This window comes from Homo sapiens, chromosome 19, assembly GCF_000001405.40.
Source record: "Homo sapiens chromosome 19, GRCh38.p14 Primary Assembly".
NCBI lineage: Eukaryota > Metazoa > Chordata > Mammalia > Primates > Hominidae > Homo > Homo sapiens.
Genome location: NC_000019.10, coordinates 56635530 through 56657387, shown reverse-complemented (window position 1 = coordinate 56657387; position 21858 = coordinate 56635530). Strand labels below are relative to the sequence as shown.

Sequence of the window (21858 nt, the reverse complement as noted above, 5' to 3'; positions counted from 1 at the left end):
AATTTCTCTAAAGAACCTCATATACATAGACAGAAGAGCGCAGGATGATAATATCAACCAGTATTAGACAAGGTAAAATTTAAGGCAAAGGATTAAATTGACTGAAAACAATCATTTTATATTTAACAAAGGATTCAGAATCAGGTTTTAATTAACATTTATTGAGTGCCTACTATCTGCCAGCCATTGTCATATGGTGTTTTACATATATTATTTAATTAACAAGGACATAACAATGCTGCACTTATATGCCTCGAATTACACAGCTGTTGAGTACATAAAGCAAAGATTATAAAAATTTATTAGCAAAAACAATTGTACTAACAAAGTTTCACATAACCTTATTGGTTTTTAATGAATATAATAGGCCAAAATTAGATAACACATGAATCTGAACAATATAATTGACGATACTGAGTTAACTAACAGGCACATAAAGTTTTCAGTTCTACAGACAGAGAAGATATCTTCATCTTAAATGTTCGTGAAACAATTACAAAAAATGGACATGTTCTAGGCCACACTAAAAGCTTTTTAAAAAGTTTTGGAAGCAGATGTGTTATAGGCCACATTCTGTGTTCACAGTGCAGTAAAACAAGAAAACAAAACTATTTTTAAACAAAAAATAAACCAAATCACTGAGTTTCAAAGCACTCTTTAGAAACACTACAATGTAATATTTAGACACACTACAATGTAATTTTTAGACAACATAAACAAAAATGAATAATCAAATGTTAAGATGTGGCCAACGCTATATCCAGAAGTACATTTGCGTTAATAAGTATGCTATTATAGAAAATATAAAGAGAATATAAATCAAGTATTCAGTATAAAAACTGAGACAAAGAAGAAAAACAATAAAAAATAAATGCAATACATATCAAAGAAAAACAAATTACAAATAAAAGAAATAATGGATATAAATGAATCCTAATGTTGGTTCTTTGGAAAAACAATAGTAAGCTAGATAAACCTTTGACAAATCTAATAACGAGTAAACCACAAACAGCAGTTTACAGGAAACAGGGGATAGAACAAAATAAAGAGAAATTTTTAATTATAAAACATTATGCATAATTAAGCTAATAATATGAAAAAGCTCTATGGAATGAAGAATTTTCTAGAGGATAAAAGAACTCTGGGCTGGGCACGGTGGCTCACATCTGTAATCCCAGCACTTTGGGAGGCCAAGGCGGGCGGATCACGAGGTCAGGAGATCGAGACCATCCTGGCTAACACGGTGAAACCCCGTCTCTACTAAAAATACAAAAAATTAGCTGGGCATGGTGGTGGGCGCCTGTAGTCCCAGCTACTTGGGAGGCTGAGGCAGGAGAATGGCATGAACCCTCTGCTTACAGTGAGCCGAGATGGCGCCACTGCACTCCAGACTGGGTGACAGAGTGAGACTCGGTCTCAAAAAAAAAAAAAAACAAAAACCTCTGTAATTCGCCAAAATAAATGCAAGAGGTAAAAAGTATTAATAAACTGATAACATTGTAAAGAACTAAGAAAGCTGCCCAAGAATTAGCTGAAACGTTCTCTCCATGACTCTATGACCTGGTTATAACAATGAATTCATGTAAGGTGTCAAGGGACTGATACTTCCTAAGCTACAGAAACTATTGAAAAGCATAGAAAAGGTAAAAGTTACCCAAGTCTTTCTATGATGCAAGCTTAACCATGATACCAAAACTTCACAAAGATAGCACCAATCTCACATGTGAAGATAGAGGCAAGAATCCTACATAAAATATCAATAAATATAATCTAGTGTATGAAAAGACTGGTGCACCAAAACCTTAAGAATGCAAAGTTGGTTTGATGTTAGGAAATGTACCAGATTTCATTGATCTTCAGTTGCACATTTTTTCATCTTCTCAAAGTCAGGAGATATCTTCCAGTTGGTGGCATCTTAATGATTAATTAGCACTTTTCTTTCTCCGTGGTATACAAAATAATGTTTTACAATCAATGATGTCTTCATTTCATGGAAATAAAGTATGTGAAAACTCACACCAAAAATTTTTTAAAAATCATCTCAAAGGATGTTTGAAAGGCATTTGAAAATATTCAACACCTATTCCTGATTTTTAACTAGCACAATTCCTTAACATGACATAGGGCATCTATTTCATTAAATTAAACTTTTAAAACAACAGCCACCATTATAGTTAAATGTGAAACATCATAGGCATCCCCGTTAAAACCAGGAACAAAAAAAGCACGCACACTACCAAGACTATGGTTGTTTGTTGTGGAGCTTTTGACCACTCCACAAAGCCCTGAAACAGAAAAAAGGAAAAGGATAAATATTGGAAAGGAAGGGGCCACCATTGTTACTTGCAGGAAAATAGACTTATATGATCAGAAATGAAATGTCATATCAAGAGAAAAGCTGTTTGAATTTAAAACGGTACAACTGAGTAGATATAAGATAAACAAAAGAATGTAACATAACTATGCTCTCTCAGAGGAAATGTTCGAATAATGGGATGACAATTTCAAAATCTCACTGGTATATTAAATCTCAGTTTTAACATACCATCTATGCTCTAATGACCCCACCCCCTCAAGAGATATGTGTGTGCTTGCATATGTATGTGTATTTGTTGACCCAACTATATATCTCACTGCCTATTTGCCATCTCCAGTTGGATATCTGATGGACATCTTAAACTTCACATGTCCCCAAACAAATATTGTAATGTCCCCCACAAAAAAAAGCTCCTCATGCAGTTTTCCTCCCATTACCCCTTCAGGCCCCTCCAGACCTCCAATTGTTGTATCCTTGACTCTCTTTCTGACACCACCCACATTCAAGACATCAGCAAGTACTGTTGGCTTTATCTTCAAAACATTCAGAATCTGACCATTTCCCTTCCCTTCACTACCACCACCCTGGCCAAAGCCACTGTCATCTATCTTGTACTCTTGATACAGAATTTTGTTTCTTGTCTTGATAATCCCACCCAATTTCTTGCCCATGGGCCAGTCAGAGTGCTCCTTCTAACGCTGACGTCATTCCTTGCCTTTCTCACTCTGTTCCAGCCACAGTCACTTCCAAGCCTTTGTAGTTACGAGTTCTTCTTCCTGGAATGCCCTTCCTCCAGATACCCTTAACCCTGCACTATGCATGCCCCTTGTCTTTTTCTCCATGCTCCTATCACCACCTGACATGCTATGTATGTTTATTGTCTCTTCCTCCAATGACACTGTAAGCACCAAGAGGGCAAACCTTTGCTTTGTTTGCTACTGTATTCCCAGTGCCTGGAACAGGGTATGAACTCTGTAAATATTTGTTGAATGAGTTCATAAATGAAAAAACATACCATGATAAGAGATGAGAAGACAAAATGTTTAACGATGACAATTTTCCAAATTAATGATGAATTTAGTGCAATTGCTATTAAAATATCAAGGAAGTTTGGTGAATGTACAAGACATAATGGATTATCTGGAAAGTTAGGCAATGGTGAACACTGAAAAAAATCCTGTGAAAAAAGAAAAATGGAAGGACACAGACTACGAATTATTAAAGTATATTATAAATCATTGATGGAATTCACATTTATAATCTTTGAAACAAATTCCTCCCTTTAGCCTGCTGATTCCCTCTGGATGACACCTTATTTCAAATCTTCCTTTACAACCAGATACCTAGGGACAATGACCCACTTAAGCAGTTCCCAAACCTGGTAGAGCACCAAAAGTTGTTGGGAGAGGTTTTTGAATATCTTGGGATCCCCTTTGGATTTTCTGGTTCAGTGTATCTGAGGAGAACCAGAGAATGTGAATTTTTATAAAGTTCCTCATAATCCATGCGTAAAATTGGGCCAACTGAACAAACGCTCATTGTAGCATTGTCTTCTGTAACAGTGACAGCAATGGGAGCCTAGCAATTCATCACCCAAGGAAATGGGTCTGACACAACTGAGCTAGAGAATATTTGGCAGCAGGAAAAAGTAACTTTGAAATACAATGAAGATAATCAATATATATTAAATGGAAAACTGTCCAGCACGTATTAAGTGAAAATGCCAACTGGAGGAATAACAATTTTGCCATAATTTCCTTTTTTGGAATTAAAAAATATATATGTAGTTTACTACATGACAGTATTTAGATAAAATTCAACAACAAGCAAAACTAATCCATGCAAGTGGAAATCAAGAACTGTAGTTGCTTCCAGGGCTGGGGAGTGAGATGGACCAGAAGGGAAAATAAGAGAATGTTCTAGAATTATGACAGCACTCAATATCTTGATTGGGGTGTTGGTTACACGGATGTACATGTGTAAACACTCTCTGGTTAGTGCATTTTATTGGAAATAATTATACTTCAATTTTGAAAAGCAGAATATAAAGTTAAGAAAATGTAATAAATACAGGTAATCTGAAATCCAATAGTTTTACACACATCACACATAATAGACCCATGGATGCCTCACCTAATTTCTCTTTATTTCTGTTTTTCAGGCTGGTGCAGCTCTCCCCTGGAGGCTAGGGGTATTGGCCGCTACTTGTATGGTTTACAGTTTGTAGTTGCTCCTTCTCTTCTGACAAATGCCCTTTGCTAATGAGATCCTCCTTCCTAGAGGATTACCCAGGAGGTTAATTCGCCCTCCAGGGCAGTCCACAGCCAACAATAACTCATATGGGATACAAAAGGCCACTCCACTGACTCAGAGGAGGATAACTCTCTCTCTCTCTCTCTTTTTTTTTTCTTTTTTTTGAGAAGGAGAGTCTCGCTGTATCGCCCAGGCTGGAGGGCAGTGGTGCAATCTCAGCTCACTGCAACCTGTGCCTCCTGGGTTCAAGCAATTCTCTGCCTCAGCCTCCCGAGTAGCTGGGATTACAGGCATCCGCCCCCATGCCCAGCTAATTTTCGTATTTTTAGTACAGACGGGGTTTCACCGTCTTGGCCAGGCTGGTCTTGAACTCCTGACCCCGTAATCCACCCACCTCGGCCTCCCAAAGTGCTAGGATTACGGGCGTGAGCCACTGCGCCCAGCCCAGAGGAGGACAACTCTCTATTCACATTCCAGGGTTCCCTTGCGATAAGACGGAGACTGGATTTCAGTTCTACCAGTATATTTGCCTGGCTCCCTCTCCTCCCCTCTCCAGCTTCCCTCACTCCCCGCTGGGCTTCACCTGAGAGCACAACCCTCAATCAAGCACTGGCACACAAATCTCAATTCAGTCTCAGTATATAGGGAAACATGTTTGGCAGGATATATACAAGGATATATACAGCAACTTTTTTTTTTTTTTTTTTTTTTTTTTTGGCAGAGTCTCACTCTGTCTCCCAGGCTGGAGTGCAGTGGCACAATCTCAGCTCATTGTAACCTCTGCCTCCCAGGTTCAAGCGATTCTCCTGCCTCAGTCTCCTGAGTAGCTGGGATTACAGGCATGTGCCACCATGCCCAGCTAATTTTTGTATTTTTAGTAGAAATGGGGTTTTGCCATGTTATGCAGACTGATCTCGAACTCATGACCTTAAGCGATCCGCCTGACTCTGCCTCCCAAAGTGCTGCGATTATAGACGTGAGCCACTGTGCCCAGCCAGCTTAAAACATTCTGTTGAAGTGGAATGTAGAAAGGGGAGGTTGCACACATCCTAGGTGTACAGCCTGAGGCACCTTCAGAAGGTGAACACACCATGTAACTAGCACCCCAAACAGGAAGCAGATCATTATCAACCCCGAAATCCCCCCACCTCAAAGGTAACCACTACCCCAACTTCTCACACTATGGATGAATTTGGCCTGTTACAGCAACTTTTACCAGGGGTTATTTCTGGGCATTGATCTTTTTAAAATCTCATGCACTTAGATAAGATTTGCAGGTGTTACATATGCTTGCATTTTATGGAACGGTAATGATGGGACCATTTTCCCCTGCTTGCTTTCTTCTGTGCCCACAGACTGGGAACTTCTGCCCTCCCGGAAAGTAACTCTTTTTCTTTCTTCCACTTCTTCACTCACTCCTCTCCACAGGAGGTATAGTGACTAGGAGAACAGGGAGAGAGAGGCCTTCATCTCTGCCCCAAGCACAGGCAGGACACCTAGTGGTTAAGAGACATGCTGGGTACAAATCCTAGCTCTGCCATTTACACGTTGCATGACAAGGGAAAGTCACATAACCTCTCTGTGCCTTAGTTTTCCCATCTGTAAAATGGGATAACAGGTCCTACATCAAGGACTGATAAGAGTACCAAGTAAATTAAGGTAAGTAGAGCACAAAGTCCAGCTCCTGGCCCATAATGAGGCTGTAACTGTCATCAAAGGTCTCTGGTTCCAGACAGCCCGCTCCTCTTTCTTTTTTGAAAGAGGGTGGTTGTCTGCAGGAAGGAGGGTCTGTCCATGCAGAAAACTGACCCAGGGCCTGCCAATGAGAGGCCCTCCCCTATCAGCCCCCTGGTGTGTGCTCCATCAATGCTGGCTCAAGGAATTACAACTGGGCAAACGAGTGAGTGAATGAATGATGTCACAGAGGCCTCTCCCAAGCAGCATGTCTAAAATCGACCTTGTCATTTCTTCCAAACTGCCTCCTTGATCCCTATGCTGGAGGCTAGAACCTCCCTCTACCCTGTCCCCACATCAGAATTCACGTGTTGCCCCTGGGCTTGTCCCTGTTCCTTCACCTTTTACGTTCCACAGGTCTGGAAATGTCATCAGGTCCTGGGTCCCATTCGCTCCTATCCTCCCCTCCAAGCCCAAACTCTATGCTAGCTCTGCTACCCACTCATTGTGGGACCTGAAGCAAGCCATTTGGTTCCTCTCTGCCTCAGTTTCCTCATCTGTAGAGGAGGAAACCATGCTAACAATCTCACAAGGCTCATGAGTTATGAGAGTTAATGAGTGTTCAGTTACTAGATGTGTTATAATAAGATGAGCTTAGAATAGCATCAAGCTGGCTGGGCGTCGTGGCTCATGCCTGTAATCCCAGCACTTTCGGAGGCCGAGGTGGGCGGATTACGAGGTCAAGAGATCAAGACCATCTTGGCCAACATGGTGAAACCCCATTTCTACTAAAAATACAAGAATTAGCTGGGCATGGTGGTGTGCGCCTGTAGTCCTAGCTACTCAGGAGGCTGAGGCAGGAGAATCACTTGAACAGAGGAGGCGGAGGTTGCAGTGAGCAGTAAGCCAAGATAGTGCCACTGCACTCCAGCCTGGTGACAGAGCGAGATTCCGTCTCAAAAAAATAAAAAATAAAAAGAATAGCATGAAGCTTGTAACATGCACAAGGAAAGTGGCAACTCTTCTCTGTTTCATTTCTACCTTTTTTCCCTAACTATACATTTCTGACTTGCTCCTTTGCCCCTCTAAACTCTAACCCCAGCCACATCCAACCCACCTTCCTTCCACATGGGCTCCCAGAGTGATTCTGTAAGTCCCCGAACACCTTCGATGGCTCCCACTGCCTGCAAAACACATCCAACCTCCTCGGTGTGGGACTTAGCAGTGAGAGGAGTCCTGCTAAAGGCCAAATCAGAACATGTCCCTCCTCTGTCCAGAACTCGCCTATGGCTCCCACCCACTCAGAGTAAAACTCACATTTCACCATGGCCCATGAGACACTACATCATCCACCCCATCGCCCCCATGACCTCACCTCCTAGTCCTCCCTCCCACCCTCCAGCCACACTGACCACCATGCCCCTTGGTGTTCCCCAAATGTACCAGGCACATCTGTACCTCAGGGCCTTTGCACTTGCTGTGTCCTCTGCATAGAGCCCGCTCTCCCTAGACATCTGCCAGTCTCACTCCCCACCTCCTTCAGGTCCTCACTCAATAGCTCCCTCTCAGTGGGGACTTTCCTAGACAAGCTTCTTAAAATAGCAACCCCCAGCCCCAGCTCCTACTCCCAAACCCCCTTCCTGCTTCATTTTTCTCCATAGCAGTTATCACCACTCAACCCAATTCATATTTTAGCTGCTTATTTCAATTGTCGTCTGTCTACCTCGGTGACTGTGAGCTCCATGAAGGCAGGGACCACTTCTGTCTCACTATTGTACACTCTGTGCATTGAACACTGCTTGGCACTGAGCAGGTGCTCAAGAAATAGACGTGCAATGAGTGAATGATGTCATCCCAGCCATATTTTCACCCAAACCTCCCACTGCTCTGCCCTTAACTTCAGTGTCCCTGAAACGTACCTTGTTATACCAACTTGCCTGTGCACATGTTGTTCCCTTCCCTGCTATGCCTGTGGAATTCTTACTATCCCGAAAACTCCAGGTGTGGTGTGTCCTCCTCTCTGGGATATCCAAGAATAAACCTCCTGGCATGCAGTTAACTTCTTCCTTTGGGCCACTCCACTGTGCCCAGCACTTATTTCTGCACTATCATGGTTTGTTGGCCAGTTTGTTTCCCTCGCCCTCATCCCTGCACCACGAGCCAATAAATCCATTTTCTGGCTTGAGGCAGCCAGAGTTACATTCCTGACATGATTGGGAGATGGATGGGACTCTCATGTGCTCACTGAGAGTGATTATGTGATTTTTCTCATGTATGAGATGAATGTATAAATGAAAGAACCACTGGTTTTCTTATATTGATATCTTATTCCTCAAAAAAGAAAACATTAGGTTTTTGAGTGAAAGAAATGTGTTTGATAATTGTCTTTGGTTTTACTTGTAGTATCTGGATTAAAACTCAGTAGATGATTAGTGGATGGATAAATGGAATAGTGGGTGGATGGGTGAATGGATTGGTAGGTGGTCTTATGACTGGGTGTGTGAATAGATACAGATGGATGAATGAATGTGTGGGCATATGGGTGGATGCATACTAGCCATATCCTCACCACAGCCAACAGGTAGTAGAGGGATGAATAGGTGGGTGGACAGTTGAGTGGATAGGGGATGGATATGTAGGTGGGTGGATTGAACAGATGGATTGATGGCATCTGAATAAAAGGGTGAATGAGTATGTATATGGATAACTGGATATATGGATGGATGAATGGGTGGATGGATGGATGGATGGATGGATGGATGGATGGAATGGGTATATGGATGCATAAGGGATGAAAGGTTGGGTAAATGAATGAGTGGACAGATGAATAGTTGGTGGATGTTCAATGGGTAGATGAATGAATGGACAGGTGAATGGAAAGGTGAGAGGGTGGGTGGAAGGGAGGGTTTATGGGTGGATGGAAAAGTGGATAGACAGCTGAGGTATAGGGATGGGTTGATGCATGGATGGATGGATGGATGGATGGATGGATGGATGGATGGATGGATGGATAAGTGGATAAACAGATGAAGTATAGGGATGGATGGATGGATGGATGGATGGATGGATGGATGGATGGATGGATGGATGGAATGGGTATACAAGCAAGTAGGTGAATAAAAGTTTAGGTGGATGAAAGAGTGGACAGATGAGTGAATGGCTAGTAGATGTTTGAGAGGTGGATGAATGAATGGATGAGTGATTGGAAAGGTAAGAGGGTGGATGGAAGGGAGGGTTGATGAATAAGTGGACAGAAGATGAAGTACAGAGGTGGATGCATGGGTAGATGGATTTATGAAGGAAGTGTTGGAGGGTACATGTGAACTGAGTTACACACACCACATGGAGACCCTCCAGTCTGTGTCTGATCACCATAGAGATCAGACACAAGAGATCTCTTGAGATTTTTATGGGGCAGGTAAATTCCAAGCTGAGAATGCAAATGTGACAAAGTGCTGAGATCTACAGAGTGGGACATTTGTGGAAAAAGAACAAACCCCCCAGTGTACCTGGGAGCCCTCTGATTCGTCATCTTCCTCCACCGAGCTCCACTCCTGGGAAAGCCCAGTCTCTTGAGAAGACAGGTCTGGGTGAGGGTGGGAGTGGAGGAAAAAGGAGCCATGAGTGAGTGGCCAGATGGCAGGAGTGGGCTCTTCCCACTGGCATCTTGTCCCTTTTCTAGTAATAGCCTCCTCTCTCTCTCTCTCTCTCTCTCTCTCTCTCACCCTCCTTCTCTCTCTCTCTCTCTCACACACACACAAACACACAACCCCACACACACACAAACACACATATGCCTATGTGATGATTCAGATGGGGCTGAGAGAATGAAAGACCTGAATTCTGTTCTATAACTACCTAGAAAACTTCAACTGGGTCACCTGATGTGCCCTGCCACTTGAGTCTTCAGTCCCTTACCTGTCCAGTAGATAAAAGAGTTCCTTCTCTACAGGCCCCCAGCAGAAACTGAGTGAAGGAGCAGAAGAAAAAGCCACAGAAGTAAACCAGGATGATGGAGGCTTCCCCAGCTTCCAAAGAACAGACACTAGTGGGGACATGTCCCCATAGTCAGAACCTTAGTGTCCTTCTCATCCCTAAGCTGAATAGACTGGGCAAATCCTGGCATTTTCCACTCTTTCTGCACCTTAGCCCCAGCCAGGAGCTCCAAGCCTCACTAGCAGAGCTGGCCTCTGTTATCCACTCCTTCTGTCCCAGCCCTGCTCATCCCCTGAGGAAAAAGACAGTGCCTAGTAGTTGGTATAAGGTTCAGCCCCTTTCTGCTATGGGGTGTCATTGAGATGTCGGCAAATGGCACCATCCTTTATCCATCTGTTTGGGCCAAAACCCTAAAAGTCATCATGATACCTCTCGTTTCCTCCCCTTCTCCACATCCATCAGCAAGAACTGATTCCTTCTCCCAAAGATGTCCCAAATCTCTCCACTTACCTCACCTCTGTCTTGGACAGTTGCAGGAATCTCCTAACTGGCCTCCCACCTTCCATTCTTGACTTCCTAGCCCTACAATCCATTCTCACATGCAGTGAGACTCAGGGTTTCTCAAACTTGGCACTATCGGCATTTGGAGCTGCACCATTCTTTCTGTGGGGGGAGGGTCCGTCCTGTGCATGGTAGGACGTTTATCAGCATCACTACTGGCTTCTCCCCACAAGATAACAGCAGCATCTCCACAGTTAGGATAATCCTAAATGTTTCCAGACACTGCCAAAAATCGTCCGGGGAGGAGAAGTGGGGTATAAGACCACGCCCAGTTGAAATCCACTGAGTTAGAGGAATATTTTTGAAATGCAAATGAGATCATGTGTTTTTCCTCTTCAAATCTTCCAGTGCTTGAAAATTGGGGAATTCCCTCTCTTGCCATCCCTGAGAACCCTGCAAGCACCCCCATGAGGATAACCCTGAAAAATCCTGCTGGAGACACATGGCCTGTCCTCAGCACCACCAAGCCAGCCAACAGCCAGCACCAGCAGACATGGGGGTAAAGCCATCTGAGATCGACCAGTGGCCTCACCAGCTCTCTGAGGCTGCACAGACAAGCACAGGCAGGAAAAGTGTCCCCTGAAGCCAGGTCAAACTTCTGACCCACAGAATCATGAGCTGATAAGTGATTGTTGCTTTAAGCCCCTAAGTTTGGGGATGACTTGTTACACAGCAAAAGCTGACTGACACAGTGCTCCATGAATAGCTGTTGAATGGATGAGTGAAGGAGTGAATGTTTAGTCTTTCCCTAGGCTCTGCCAATTCCTTCCTCTCCACCCACTCACCTCCCAAAGGACCCCTGCCTCTCACCTTTCTCATCACTGTCATGGCTGGAGGCCCCAACCTCCACAGCCTCCCAGTCTTTGGTGCAGGCGGGATGAGGAGGCTTCTCCCAGGCCCGGCTCTCCCGAGGCAGCAGAGTCTTGGTCCTCTCAGGCTCCAGCAGCCCCCGTGTCTGCTCAGGCCTGAGACTCTGCATTGCCCCAGGAGGAGGTGGAGCTTCTGAGACAAGCTTCTCTTTCTCCTCCTGCTCCAGGGTCCTCTCTGGTTCTCCAGGCACAAGATTCAGAACCTGAGGACTGATGGACATTTCATCATTCAGTGAATCATTACAGAGGGCCAGCAGGGGCTAGGCACGACTGTAAGCATTAGAAATACAGCAGTAATCAAGTGGAGATTCCTGCCCTCCTGGGGCTTACATTCTAGTAGGGAGACAAAGAGACAGGCAGGGAACAAATAAAGCACACAGCAGGTCAAACGCTAGAGGGTGCTCTGGAGACAAAGCTGGAAAGGGAGTGATTGTCATGGGCAGGCACATGCAGACACACACACTCACATACTCCCATATACACACATACAAACATAAACACATCCACACATACACACACACAGACACACAGTCACATACACACACACTAACACAAACACAAACACACACACATCCACATTCACACACACTCACATAGACTAACACACACACTCATACACACTCACAGTCACACACACTCACATTCATACTCACACACATACACACTCACATACTCATATACACACCTACAGCCACACATGATTCTCCAGTCTGCACATTTGTATATAACAAATGGGATAGGAAACGACATGAATTAATAAATAAATCAGCCAGGCGAGGTGGCTCACACCTGTAATCCTAGCACTTTGGGAGACCAAGGTGGGAGGGTTGCTTGAGCCCAGGAGTTTAAAAATTAGCCAGGTGTGGTGTCACGAGCCTGTAGTCTCAGATATTGGAAGGATCCTTTGAACCTGGGAGTTCAAGGCTTCAGTGAGCTAGGATCGTGCCACTGCACTCCAGCCTGGGTAAGAGAGAAAGACTCTCTCAAAAATCAATCAATGAGTCAATCAAGAGGACTCTTTTACTGTCACTTTTCTACAAATGAAAATTAAATATAGGTCCAGAGAAATACTTCTCTATTGTAAGGAGCACATGAACAAATGGCAGTGGATATATGGCATGGGGAGAGACGACGGAGGCAGTGGGGAGTGGGGCAAGAGAGATCAGGTCTCCTGTCTGAAGAAGCTGCACCATGCAACTCAGCTAATGTCTGCAGAGCAAACGCATGGGACTGGTGTCGCCCATCCTGTGATTTCTCAAAAGAAGACTGGAAATCTATATTTTCAGATGGCATTTTCTACATTTCATGATGTCAATAATTATTTCCAGTGTTTAACAGGAAGACACCTTTAGTCAAATAGCACAAGTTGTGGGGCTGAATTAGACCCTGGGGTTGCCCATTTGCAACCTCAGTGTGGGCCGGGGAGTCTGTTGGGAGTGAGGAGAGGAGGCTGCCTAGACATTTTTCAGGGCAAGAAAATTCCTATGGGACCTTCGTGGGAAAGAGTGTTAGAGAGTACCATTAGGGAGTTCTGATTTGTTTATTGCTTTGGGGTTTTGCTTGGCTTTGTTTTTAATATGAGACATAATTAATCATGGATCTAGGTTGAGGGGAGGGGAAGGCATGAGAAAGGAGAAAATGCAGGCAAGCGGGGTGACAGATGGGAAAGACGACAGCCATCAGGTCAAGGTCAGGAGAAGCTGGATCCGCAGTGAATGGAGGAGGAAGAAGGAAAGGGGATGAGACAGAGGTATGGTGGGGGGAGGAGATTCACACCCCACAGCCTCAGTGTTCATGGTGAAATAGCAAACAAGTCATCCCCTGAGAGAATGGAGACGCAGTCACAACAACGACAACCAGCAACCACAGTAAAAGCAATAAAAATACCGGCAGTGTTTCCCGGAGCCCAGAACTCTCCTTGTGCCCAGCCCTGCTGAGCCCTGCGAATCCCTTTTCTCACATAAAGGTGGCCATACTTCTCGCTACAGATACTATTAGGTTTCCATTTAACAGACAGGGAAGTCCCCTGATCAAAGCCACACAGCTCAGAAGAGTGGGGGCGGGGCTGCTGCACCTGTTTGCTGAGAGCCTGCGCTCCCACCGTTGCAGGGTGGTCCACAGGGGCCCAGGCGGACACACAACGCGAACACGCACAGGTGCACACTCGGGCAGGTGCGCTGAACACCCCAGGGGGAGCGAACATCGACACCAAGCCCCAGCGAGACGAGCGCACGTGCCCGTGCCGCCCCACGAGGGTACACAGGTCTGTGCTCCCCTCCTCACGAGGAGGCTGGAATTCACCTGCAACCCCCAAGCCAGGACACAGACCTCCGCTGCGGAGAAACAGACCCGACCCCGACAGACCCCGGTCCTCTCCCACCGGACGGGCTTGGAGACGCCCTCTCCCCGGACCCTATCCCTGGAGCGGTTCTGCCCCTCACCCTCGCCCAGGCACACACACCCTCTGCGCATCCATACTCGCGCGCGCATCCCCGGATCGCCGCCCGCGCCCCCAGCCCCTTTTCTCCGCCTCCTTCCCGCCCGCGGGGGTCCCTCGAAGGACTCACCCTCCCCAACCGGACCCTGTCTGGGCTCTGCAGAGCTGGCGCCGCACTGACTGCGGCTGCGCAGACGCGGAGGCTGCGGGGGGGTGGGGGGAGGTGGGAGATGGGAGGTGGGGGAATTGGGGAGCGTGGGTGTCCTCCTCCCCTCCTCCACCCCCGGGAAGCCTGCACCTGGAGGCGCGTGGGGAAGGGAGTGGATGAGCCGCAGAGGCGGGGTACCCGCGGCGTGGTTGCAGGGGGGTGTGGTACCGAGCTGGTCCATCTCTAGCTGATGAGCACGTAGGTTATGTTCGAGGTACCCTGCGACAGACGCCCCAAGGCCAGCGGCTTTGCGTACGCCCCCCGTGGTTCTCCAGTCTGCAAACCGGGAGTCCGGGGTGGGCGGAAGGGAGAAGGAGCTGGGGCAGGGGGTGGCAGCCCGGGGACCCTGAGGCCCGACCGCCTGGGGCAGCGGCTGGCTTTGCCATTTGTTACTAGTGAGTCCTCGGGTGTGTTACTTAACATTTCCGTGCCTCGGTTGCCCATGCTGTTAAGTGGGAATAATTATGGTTACCAAGTCCCAGGATTTCTGTGAAAGTAAAACAATAATAACAATAATAAGTAATACACGTACAGTTCTTACAACAGTGCCTAATAGCTGCTATTATTATCAATGACCATTGTTGTTCAAATTTACAATGCAGTGACTACAGCCAAGTTGCTCTCATGGAGGCTACATTAAATTTTTAAAATTTTCGGCAAAGCCATAGGTAGGGGGAAAACGGCGTCCCTGCATCATCTTAGCTACATTTCCCTGATTACTAGTGAGGAGAATTAAACACATGTATTTGAACAGGCTTATTCTCTCTTCTGTGAATTACCCGTTTATCTCCTCCTCTCCGCATTGTTCTATTTGTTTATGTAGCTTTTACTTACTGATTAATAGACATTCTTTCTATATTCTGCACATTAATCCTTTGCCTGTTACTCTATCTGTGGCAAATATTTTCTCCTGGCTCCTCCCTTATGTTTTTATTGTGTTTACACAGTGCCTGAAGTTTTGAATTTTAATAAAAATACAAGATATCCTTTTTATTTATTTATTTATTTTTTGCTTTTAGGGTCTTAAGATGCCCTTCCTCAGCCTTGTCTCTCCCTCTCTTCCCCGCCCCTCCTCCCCCTCCTTGTCTCTTTGAGACAAGGTCTTACTCTGTCACCCAGGCTGGAGTGCAGTAGTGTGATCATAGCTCACAGCAGCCTTGAACTCCTGGCCTCAAGTGATGCTCTTGCCTCAGCCTCTTGAGTAGCTGGGACTGCAGGCATGTGCCACCACACCTGGCTAATTTTTAAATTTTTTGTAGAAACAGGGTCTCACTATGTTGCCCAGGCTGGTCTCAAACTCCTGGCCTCAACTGATCTTCCCAGCTCAGCCTTCCAAAGTGCTAGGATTACAGGCATGAATCACTTCTCCTGGCCTCCCCTTACTCTCATAAACACATTTTCCTGTATAATCTTATATTTTACAGTCTTATTTTATATATTTATTTTGTTTGAACCTTCTGGAATTTTTTTGAATGGTATGAGGTAAGGATTTAACCTCCTTTCCCTAATGGATAGAAAATTGAATTACCCTGGTTATTCAGAAAAACAAAAATAACTGTCATTTATCAAAAAAATACTACAAGGAAAGCCATCTCGTTAATATTATCTCATTTAATTCCAACAGCCCAAAGTGGTAGTATTATTATCCCCATTTAACAGAGAAGAGAACTGAGGCACAAAGGAGTTAAATGAGTTGTACAAAGGACACACAGTAAGATTATGGAAGGACTGAGATTGGGTTTGCCTACGAGTTTTCAGATAGGTTATGTAATTGGGATGGGAAACTTTCTTCATTTCTATGTTTAGAAGATGAGTTTCCTGCCATTCCAAAGATAGTTCAGAGTGTGCAGAGAAGAGAGATGAAGTGTCAAGAATTAGACATTTCATCCAATCCTCATCACCTCCTTTGATAACAAGACATTTAGTGCAGGAGACCAGGTGAGCTGCCCCAGGTCACAGAGTCTTGAGAGGGTTAGGAACTGGGCATCCAGATGCAGATCTAACAATGTACTAGCTGTATAACTTTGGGAAGTGAATTAACTCGGTCTCAGTTTCCTTACCTGCAAAATGGGGACAATAATATTTTCTACCTCATAGGGTTAGTGTGAACATCATATAGGTTAATACATATGCCTCCTAATTTTGAGTGCTCAGTAAATGTCACTGGTATTATCATTATAATTATTGAACAGCAGGTCCTCAATATGGGGTAAAAATCTCCAGTTATGATCCTGATAGTCCAGATGAATTATGGTTGTTTCAAAATGGACTCAAGTTTGAGGGGCTTCCCCAGAATTCTGAGGGAACAAATTTTTTTTTCTTTGAGACGGAATTTTGTTCTTGTTGTCCACACTGGAGTGCAGTGGCACAATCTCGGCTCACCGCAACCTCCGTCTCTCGGGTTGAAGCGATTCTCCTGCCTCAGCCTCCCGAGTAGCTGGGATTACAGGCTTGCACCACCATGCGCAGCTAATTTTTGCATTTTTAGTAGAGATGGGGTTTCTCCATGTTGGTCAGGCTGGTCTCCTGACCTCAGGTCGTCCACCTGCCTCGGCCACCCAAAGTGTTGGGATGACAGGCGTGAGCCACAGTGCCTGGCCGAAAGGAATGTTACTGAGTGACCCCTTAGAGGTGATTTCTTCCCTAAACAGAAGAAAACAATGAAGGGAAAGTGTCTGGAATCCTGTTTTATGTCTTTAATGTTTCTCAAACTTCAACCTCTCAAACACCCTTTTTCAATGTTTGCCCTGTTTCTGCAGCAATGAGTAACATCTTCATGATTGCTTTCATTTACACATAACATCCCTGCATTCCTATTTACTTAATATTTTTATTTAAAATGAATTCATTTTCTAAAACCATTTAAGAAGTACCTTTAAATGGAAACTTTACAGCACTCCTATAAGTGGAAAGCCAGTTTCAAGTGCCATAACCTAAAAGGGAAATAAAATCACGATTAAAAAATTATAGCTATATGCCACCACTACGTGTGGTAGATTGAATTATTGGTTCCAATTCTTCATTATCCTACTGTAACATAACACATTCTCTGTCTTGCCATAGCCTCATAGCAAGCCAAGGGCTGGAGTACAGATGTGTTATCCCCATGGGCCTTTTCCCTTTGTTGATTGTGCTTTGTATACTTTCACTGTAGTAAATCATAGCCGTGAGTATGACTATGTGCTGAGTCTCTCTTGAGTCCTCCTCCCAGGAAATCATCAAACCTGCGGATGATCTTGGGGACCCCAACACAAACCCTGGACCACAATTTTACCAGGAGGTAAGTGCTGTTGACATCTTTTTGGGGCTCCATGACTAGCCAGGAAAAGAAAAATTAATGCAGGGCTGAGAATTCATCCACTCATTCATTCATTCACTCATACAACTAATATTTATTAAACAACTGCCATGTGAAGATGCTGTTCCGGGTAGCTAAGGCAACTGATGTCTGTGGCCTAATGGAGCTTACATTCTAATGATGAAAACAGACAGTGTCAAGTAAACCAATAAATGCAAAATGAAATATAGTTTGTGCTAAATTCTGTGAAGTACTAAATTCTGTGAAATAAATCACTGTGATAGTAACTTTGAAGCCACTTTAGGTGGGGATGGTCAGGGAAGGCCTTTTAGAAAAGGTCATATTTTGAGCTAAGGACCAAATGGTGGAAAGGAGACAGTTATAGTTGAATCCACACTTGAATGAGTTCAGCACCATGGACAGAGCACACCAGAGGCAAAGGCCCTGAGGAACCAACAGGGAGGTGGTGTGGCCAGTGTGACCAGGAAAGCGAGAGTGTCATGGGATGTAAGATAGAGAGGCGCCCGGGCGCGGTGGCTCACTCCTGTAATCCCAGCACTTTGGGAGGTTGAGGTGGGCAGATCACGAGGTCAAGAGATCAAGACCATCCTGACCGACATGGTGAAACCCCGTCTCTACCAAAAATACAAAAATTAGATGGGCGTGGTGGCACGCGCCTGTAGTCCCAGCTATTCAGGAGCCTGAGGAAGGGGAATCGCTTGAACCCGGGAGGCGGAGGTTGCAGCCGAGATTACGCCATTGTACCCAGCCTGGGCGACAGAGTGAGACTCCATCTCAAAAGGAAAAAAAAAAGATAGGCATCCAGAGTCATGAAAGCCACAGGAAGATCTTTGAATTTTATTATAGGTGTATTGGAGATAGTGGCAGGTACTGAGGAATGGTATGATAGACTCTGGTTTACATTTTCCAAGGCTCACTGAAACTGCTGTGTGGGGAATGCACTAGAAGGGGCGGTAAAGTAGGAGGATCACTTAGGAGGCTCTTGCAGTAAACCAGGTGAGAAGCGACGGTGGCCTGGAGTAAGGCAGTGGCAATGGGGATGGAGAGCAGTGGGTAGATTCAGGATTTGCTCTACAGGTGGAGCTGAGAGGACTCACTAATGGGTGGAGTGCGAGGTGTGACAGAAAGAGACGAATCAAGGGAGACTTCTGGGCTTTGGGCCTGAGCAACTGAGTGCCCTGAAGTGCCCTAAGTGAGATCAAGTTTATTTTGTGGGGAAAATCCAGAGTTCCCTTTTGGGCATATTAACTGTTGGATGCCTGCATTTCTGAGGTCAACTCCAGAAGAGCCTGGATTACCCAGATAGCCCCATCAGAGTCTCCAGAGGTGAAAGTTGCAGAGGGGGCTCAGGAATCAGCTCAGAAGAGCGTCTACATCTAGCACAGGTGATGGCGAAATGACACTTGTTCCTATCCATGTTGCAGAACCAGTCCAGCAGGGCTCTTCGTGATACCGGAAGAGTCCCAGCACAGGCTACCCTGCGAGGCTGGGGGGAACTGTCCTGCGAGCCTGGGGGGCTGCCTGTGGTGCTGAACCATTCTGGCCTGAGCCGCCCGGGGTTCTGATGGATATTAGCGGGGCTATCCGTGGTGCTGAACCACTTCCAGCAGGGCTGTCCGGCGAGGCTTGAGCTGTCTGCGGTGCTGAACCATTCACATCACGAGCTGCCTTGGGGGCTGTCCGTGGTGCTGAATCTGTCTGGCGTGAGCTGTCCGCAGTTCTAAACCATTCAAGCATTAGCGTTCGGTGGTGCTGACGCTCTACACAGAATAGCTGGAGAAGACTTTTTTTTTTCCCCCTCCTTCAAAGAACCCATCCGCCTGGGGAAAGCCCTGCTGTTTCCTGGAAACAAAGATCTCTGGGCTGTAGAGATCATGGGATGAAAACAGATGAGGGCAACAACTGCAAAGTCATTTTTAAGTGACAGCTTTTGTTCTTAGGACAGCAGGGCCTGGCTGAACCGGATTGAAATTATTAACATGAAGTTTCCCAAAAAGCTCTGAAGAGGGGGAAAGTACAGAAAGGAAATTCAGAGAAAGGTATGCCCCGGATTCAGGCTGTTGGTTATTCTGGGTTGGGAGAAGCAGTGGAGTGGGGAGGAGAGGGCTATATAAATATATGCGAGTTATTGGCAAAGCCCTAGGTTTTTTTTTTTTTTTTTTTTTTTTTTTTTTTTTTTTTGAGATGGAGTCTCGCTCAGTCGCCCAGGCTGGAGTGCAGTGGCGCGATCTCGGCTCACTGCAAACTCCGCCTCGCGGGTTCACGCCATTCTCCTTCCTTAGCCTCCCGAGTAGCTGGGACTACAGGCACCCGCCACCACGCCCGGCTAATTTTTTTTTTCTTTTTTGTATTTTTAGTAAAGACGGGTTTTCACCGTCTTAGCCAGGATGTTCTCGATCTCCTGACCTCGTGATGCGCCCGCCTCGGCCTCCCAAAGTGCTGGGATTATAGGCGTAAGCCACGGCGCCCAGCCGGCAAAGCGCTATTTTTTATGTTGCAAGCTGGGGTCACAAGAGGGATGTTATTGTAGATTTACAGAAATGCAGCATGGCTACAGTTTCTCATGCTTCCAAATACAACCAATCACATACATTGTAAACTGTGACTGTTATTTTAGTGTCGCTTTAGCTGGTGAATAGACACACCCACCATCTTTTTGTCAGGGTTAGTCTTGAATTATGTGGGTTTTGAATTGTACACCCTCTGCAAGAGTGAGTCCTTCACAAAATCAAATCTCTCTGGAATTGTTGAATGGATGAATAAGTGTTCTTCCCAATGATCTGGTCACCAGAAAAGGCACAGCTTCCACAATCACTCAAGAGACAGACATTCATAAAGCACTCACTACGTGCTGGACATTGCAGGTGACACCCAGTATGCCTGAAGCATATCCTGTATGCCTAATAGGATGATATTCACAACTTTTCAAGGGCCAGAGAGCTTTGAGGCTCTGACTTTGAGCTCTTTGTTTACCTAGAACCACTGTGATATGGCTCTTCACTATCTTTCTATTATGTCCTCTAATGGAGTTGCTGGCCCAGTGAGTTTTGATATTTCAATTTCTCAAAATAAGCTGGAGCTCATTACTTTATGAATATTTCTTTTTGCTTACTGTCTGCCTTGTTTCTAAAATGGTACAGACCCATGATGGTAGGGGCTGTGTGTTTCTAATTTACCTCTGAGCCTCCAGAACCTGGAACGTGTCTTGGCACATACCAGATGGCCCATGAATGTTGTTTTGAAACAGTCGAATGAATGAAAAACGGTGTTTGTAAATGTAAACTATCTCAATGTTTTAATGATGGTAATTCATTAAATTAAAAGGAAAATGAGTGACGTGACCTGAACTGAACTGTGCTCGTCAGTTGGCAGGATGAAGTCTATGATCTGCCAGATCGAGACATCCAAGATCACAGACCCCTGTTGAGTAAGACTTTGCCATAAGACCACTTCATGGGCCAGTGACCTGTTGTTCTATCCTCTGGTACATCTGCTGTGGCCCATAAGGCAGGGTTCTGTGGCACCAAGCAGGGAATCCTATCAGTAGGGACCATCCCACAAGGAGAGGAATCTATTTCATGCTTTTTGGCAACTGCAGGGAATTAATCACATTGTGTGGATGTATCTAGTGTACGTGGCCATCTCCAAACTGTGATCATTTGGGAGCCTCGGACACCCTGGGGCAGGTCAGCTTGTAAATGGCATATCCAGGATTAAACCCAGAGCGATATGTCCCCAAAGACCTTCTTGTTTCACTACTACTAAAAAATTTTCCATTTATTTAAGGTGGGATTGCAAGGGGAAGAAGTATGATTGAAATGGGAAAACTCACCTTGTTATTTAAAACCTAGAAGGATACAATCACTTGGGGGTGTATGGGGTAAATCATACAAGGGCAGCGAGCTGTCAAGTCTGCTTAGAGAAACAGGTTCTCCTAGCCACTTCCAGCCCACAGGGCTTTTCTGCAGTCTCGCTAGAAAAATGATTCCAAAGACAGAATCATTATAAATCAAGTAACATTTATTGAGAGCTTAATGTGTCCTCACCAAGATCATGTTGGTTGAGTGTTGTTATTATACTCATTTTACAGAACAAAATAGATCATCGTGGATGGATATGAAAAGGTCTCCAAGACACATCATTTCATGGGAGGATGGGGGAAGCAAGTTGCAAATCTACAGATGCAGTCTGACATGAATGACGTGAAAACCCAGCAACACATAAAACAATGTCGATATTTTCTGTGGGCACATAGATATGTCTATAAAGTCTTCTCAAGTTAAA

The 21858-nt window shown here is 45.2% G+C and overlaps 1 protein-coding gene and 1 long non-coding RNA gene across 3 annotated transcripts in view, besides 3 other annotated features; both read right to left on the bottom strand.

Annotated features, from left to right (window-relative positions):
* Positions 1-140: 140 nt before the first annotated feature.
* On the bottom strand, positions 141-14229 carry SMIM17 (small integral membrane protein 17). Its single transcript, NM_001193628.2, has 4 exons — positions 14178-14229; positions 11552-11820; positions 9754-9830; positions 141-2285 (listed from the first exon to the last, which is right to left on the bottom strand). The coding sequence occupies exons 2-4, from the start codon at positions 11718-11720 to the stop codon at positions 2175-2177; spliced, it is 357 nt and encodes a 118-aa protein (NP_001180557.1). The 5' UTR covers positions 11721-11820; positions 14178-14229; the 3' UTR covers positions 141-2174.
* The window catches only part of ZNF71-SMIM17 (ZNF71-SMIM17 readthrough (NMD candidate)), a 61946-nt gene continuing 40228 nt past the window's right edge, over positions 141-21858 (bottom strand). For both annotated transcript variants that reach the window (NR_163262.1, NR_163263.1), the window contains 3 exons: positions 11552-11820; positions 9754-9830; positions 141-2285 (listed from right to left, as the gene is read on the bottom strand). This is a non-coding gene — a long non-coding RNA (ZNF71-SMIM17 readthrough (NMD candidate)). The remainder of the gene's footprint in view (positions 2286-9753; positions 9831-11551; positions 11821-21858) is intronic.
* Positions 19084-19295: a silencer, noted in NCBI's record as "fragment chr19:57149461-57149672 (GRCh37/hg19 assembly coordinates)". NCBI's record gives its function as "represses an EF-1alpha promoter that drives an FKBP-Casp9 reporter gene in an ReSE screen in HepG2 liver carcinoma cells {active_cell/tissue: HepG2}" and the evidence as "EXISTENCE:reporter gene assay evidence [ECO:0000049][PMID:32094911]".
* Positions 19084-19387: a biological region, named in NCBI's record as "Sharpr-MPRA regulatory region 15209".
* Positions 19093-19387: a silencer, noted in NCBI's record as "tiled region #15209; HepG2 Repressive DNase unmatched - State 10:DNaseD, and K562 Repressive non-DNase unmatched - State 10:DNaseD". NCBI's record gives its function as "represses a minimal TATA promoter and a strong SV40 promoter by Sharpr-MPRA in HepG2 and K562 cells {active_cell/tissue: HepG2 | K562}" and the evidence as "EXISTENCE:reporter gene assay evidence [ECO:0000049][PMID:27701403]".

Coding starts and splice junctions, on each gene's coding strand:
- SMIM17 (NM_001193628.2), bottom strand. CDS start 11,720: ATGCAGAGTCTCAGGCCTGAGCAGACACGGGGGCTGCTGGAGCCTGAG. Junction 9,831..11,551: donor CCATGACAGTGATGAGAAAG/GTGAGAGGCAGG, acceptor ACCCTCACCCAG/ACCTGTCTTCTCAAGAGACT. Junction 2,286..9,753: donor ACGAATCAGAGGGCTCCCAG/GTACACTGGGGG, acceptor TTTCTGTTTCAG/GGCTTTGTGGAGTGGTCAAA.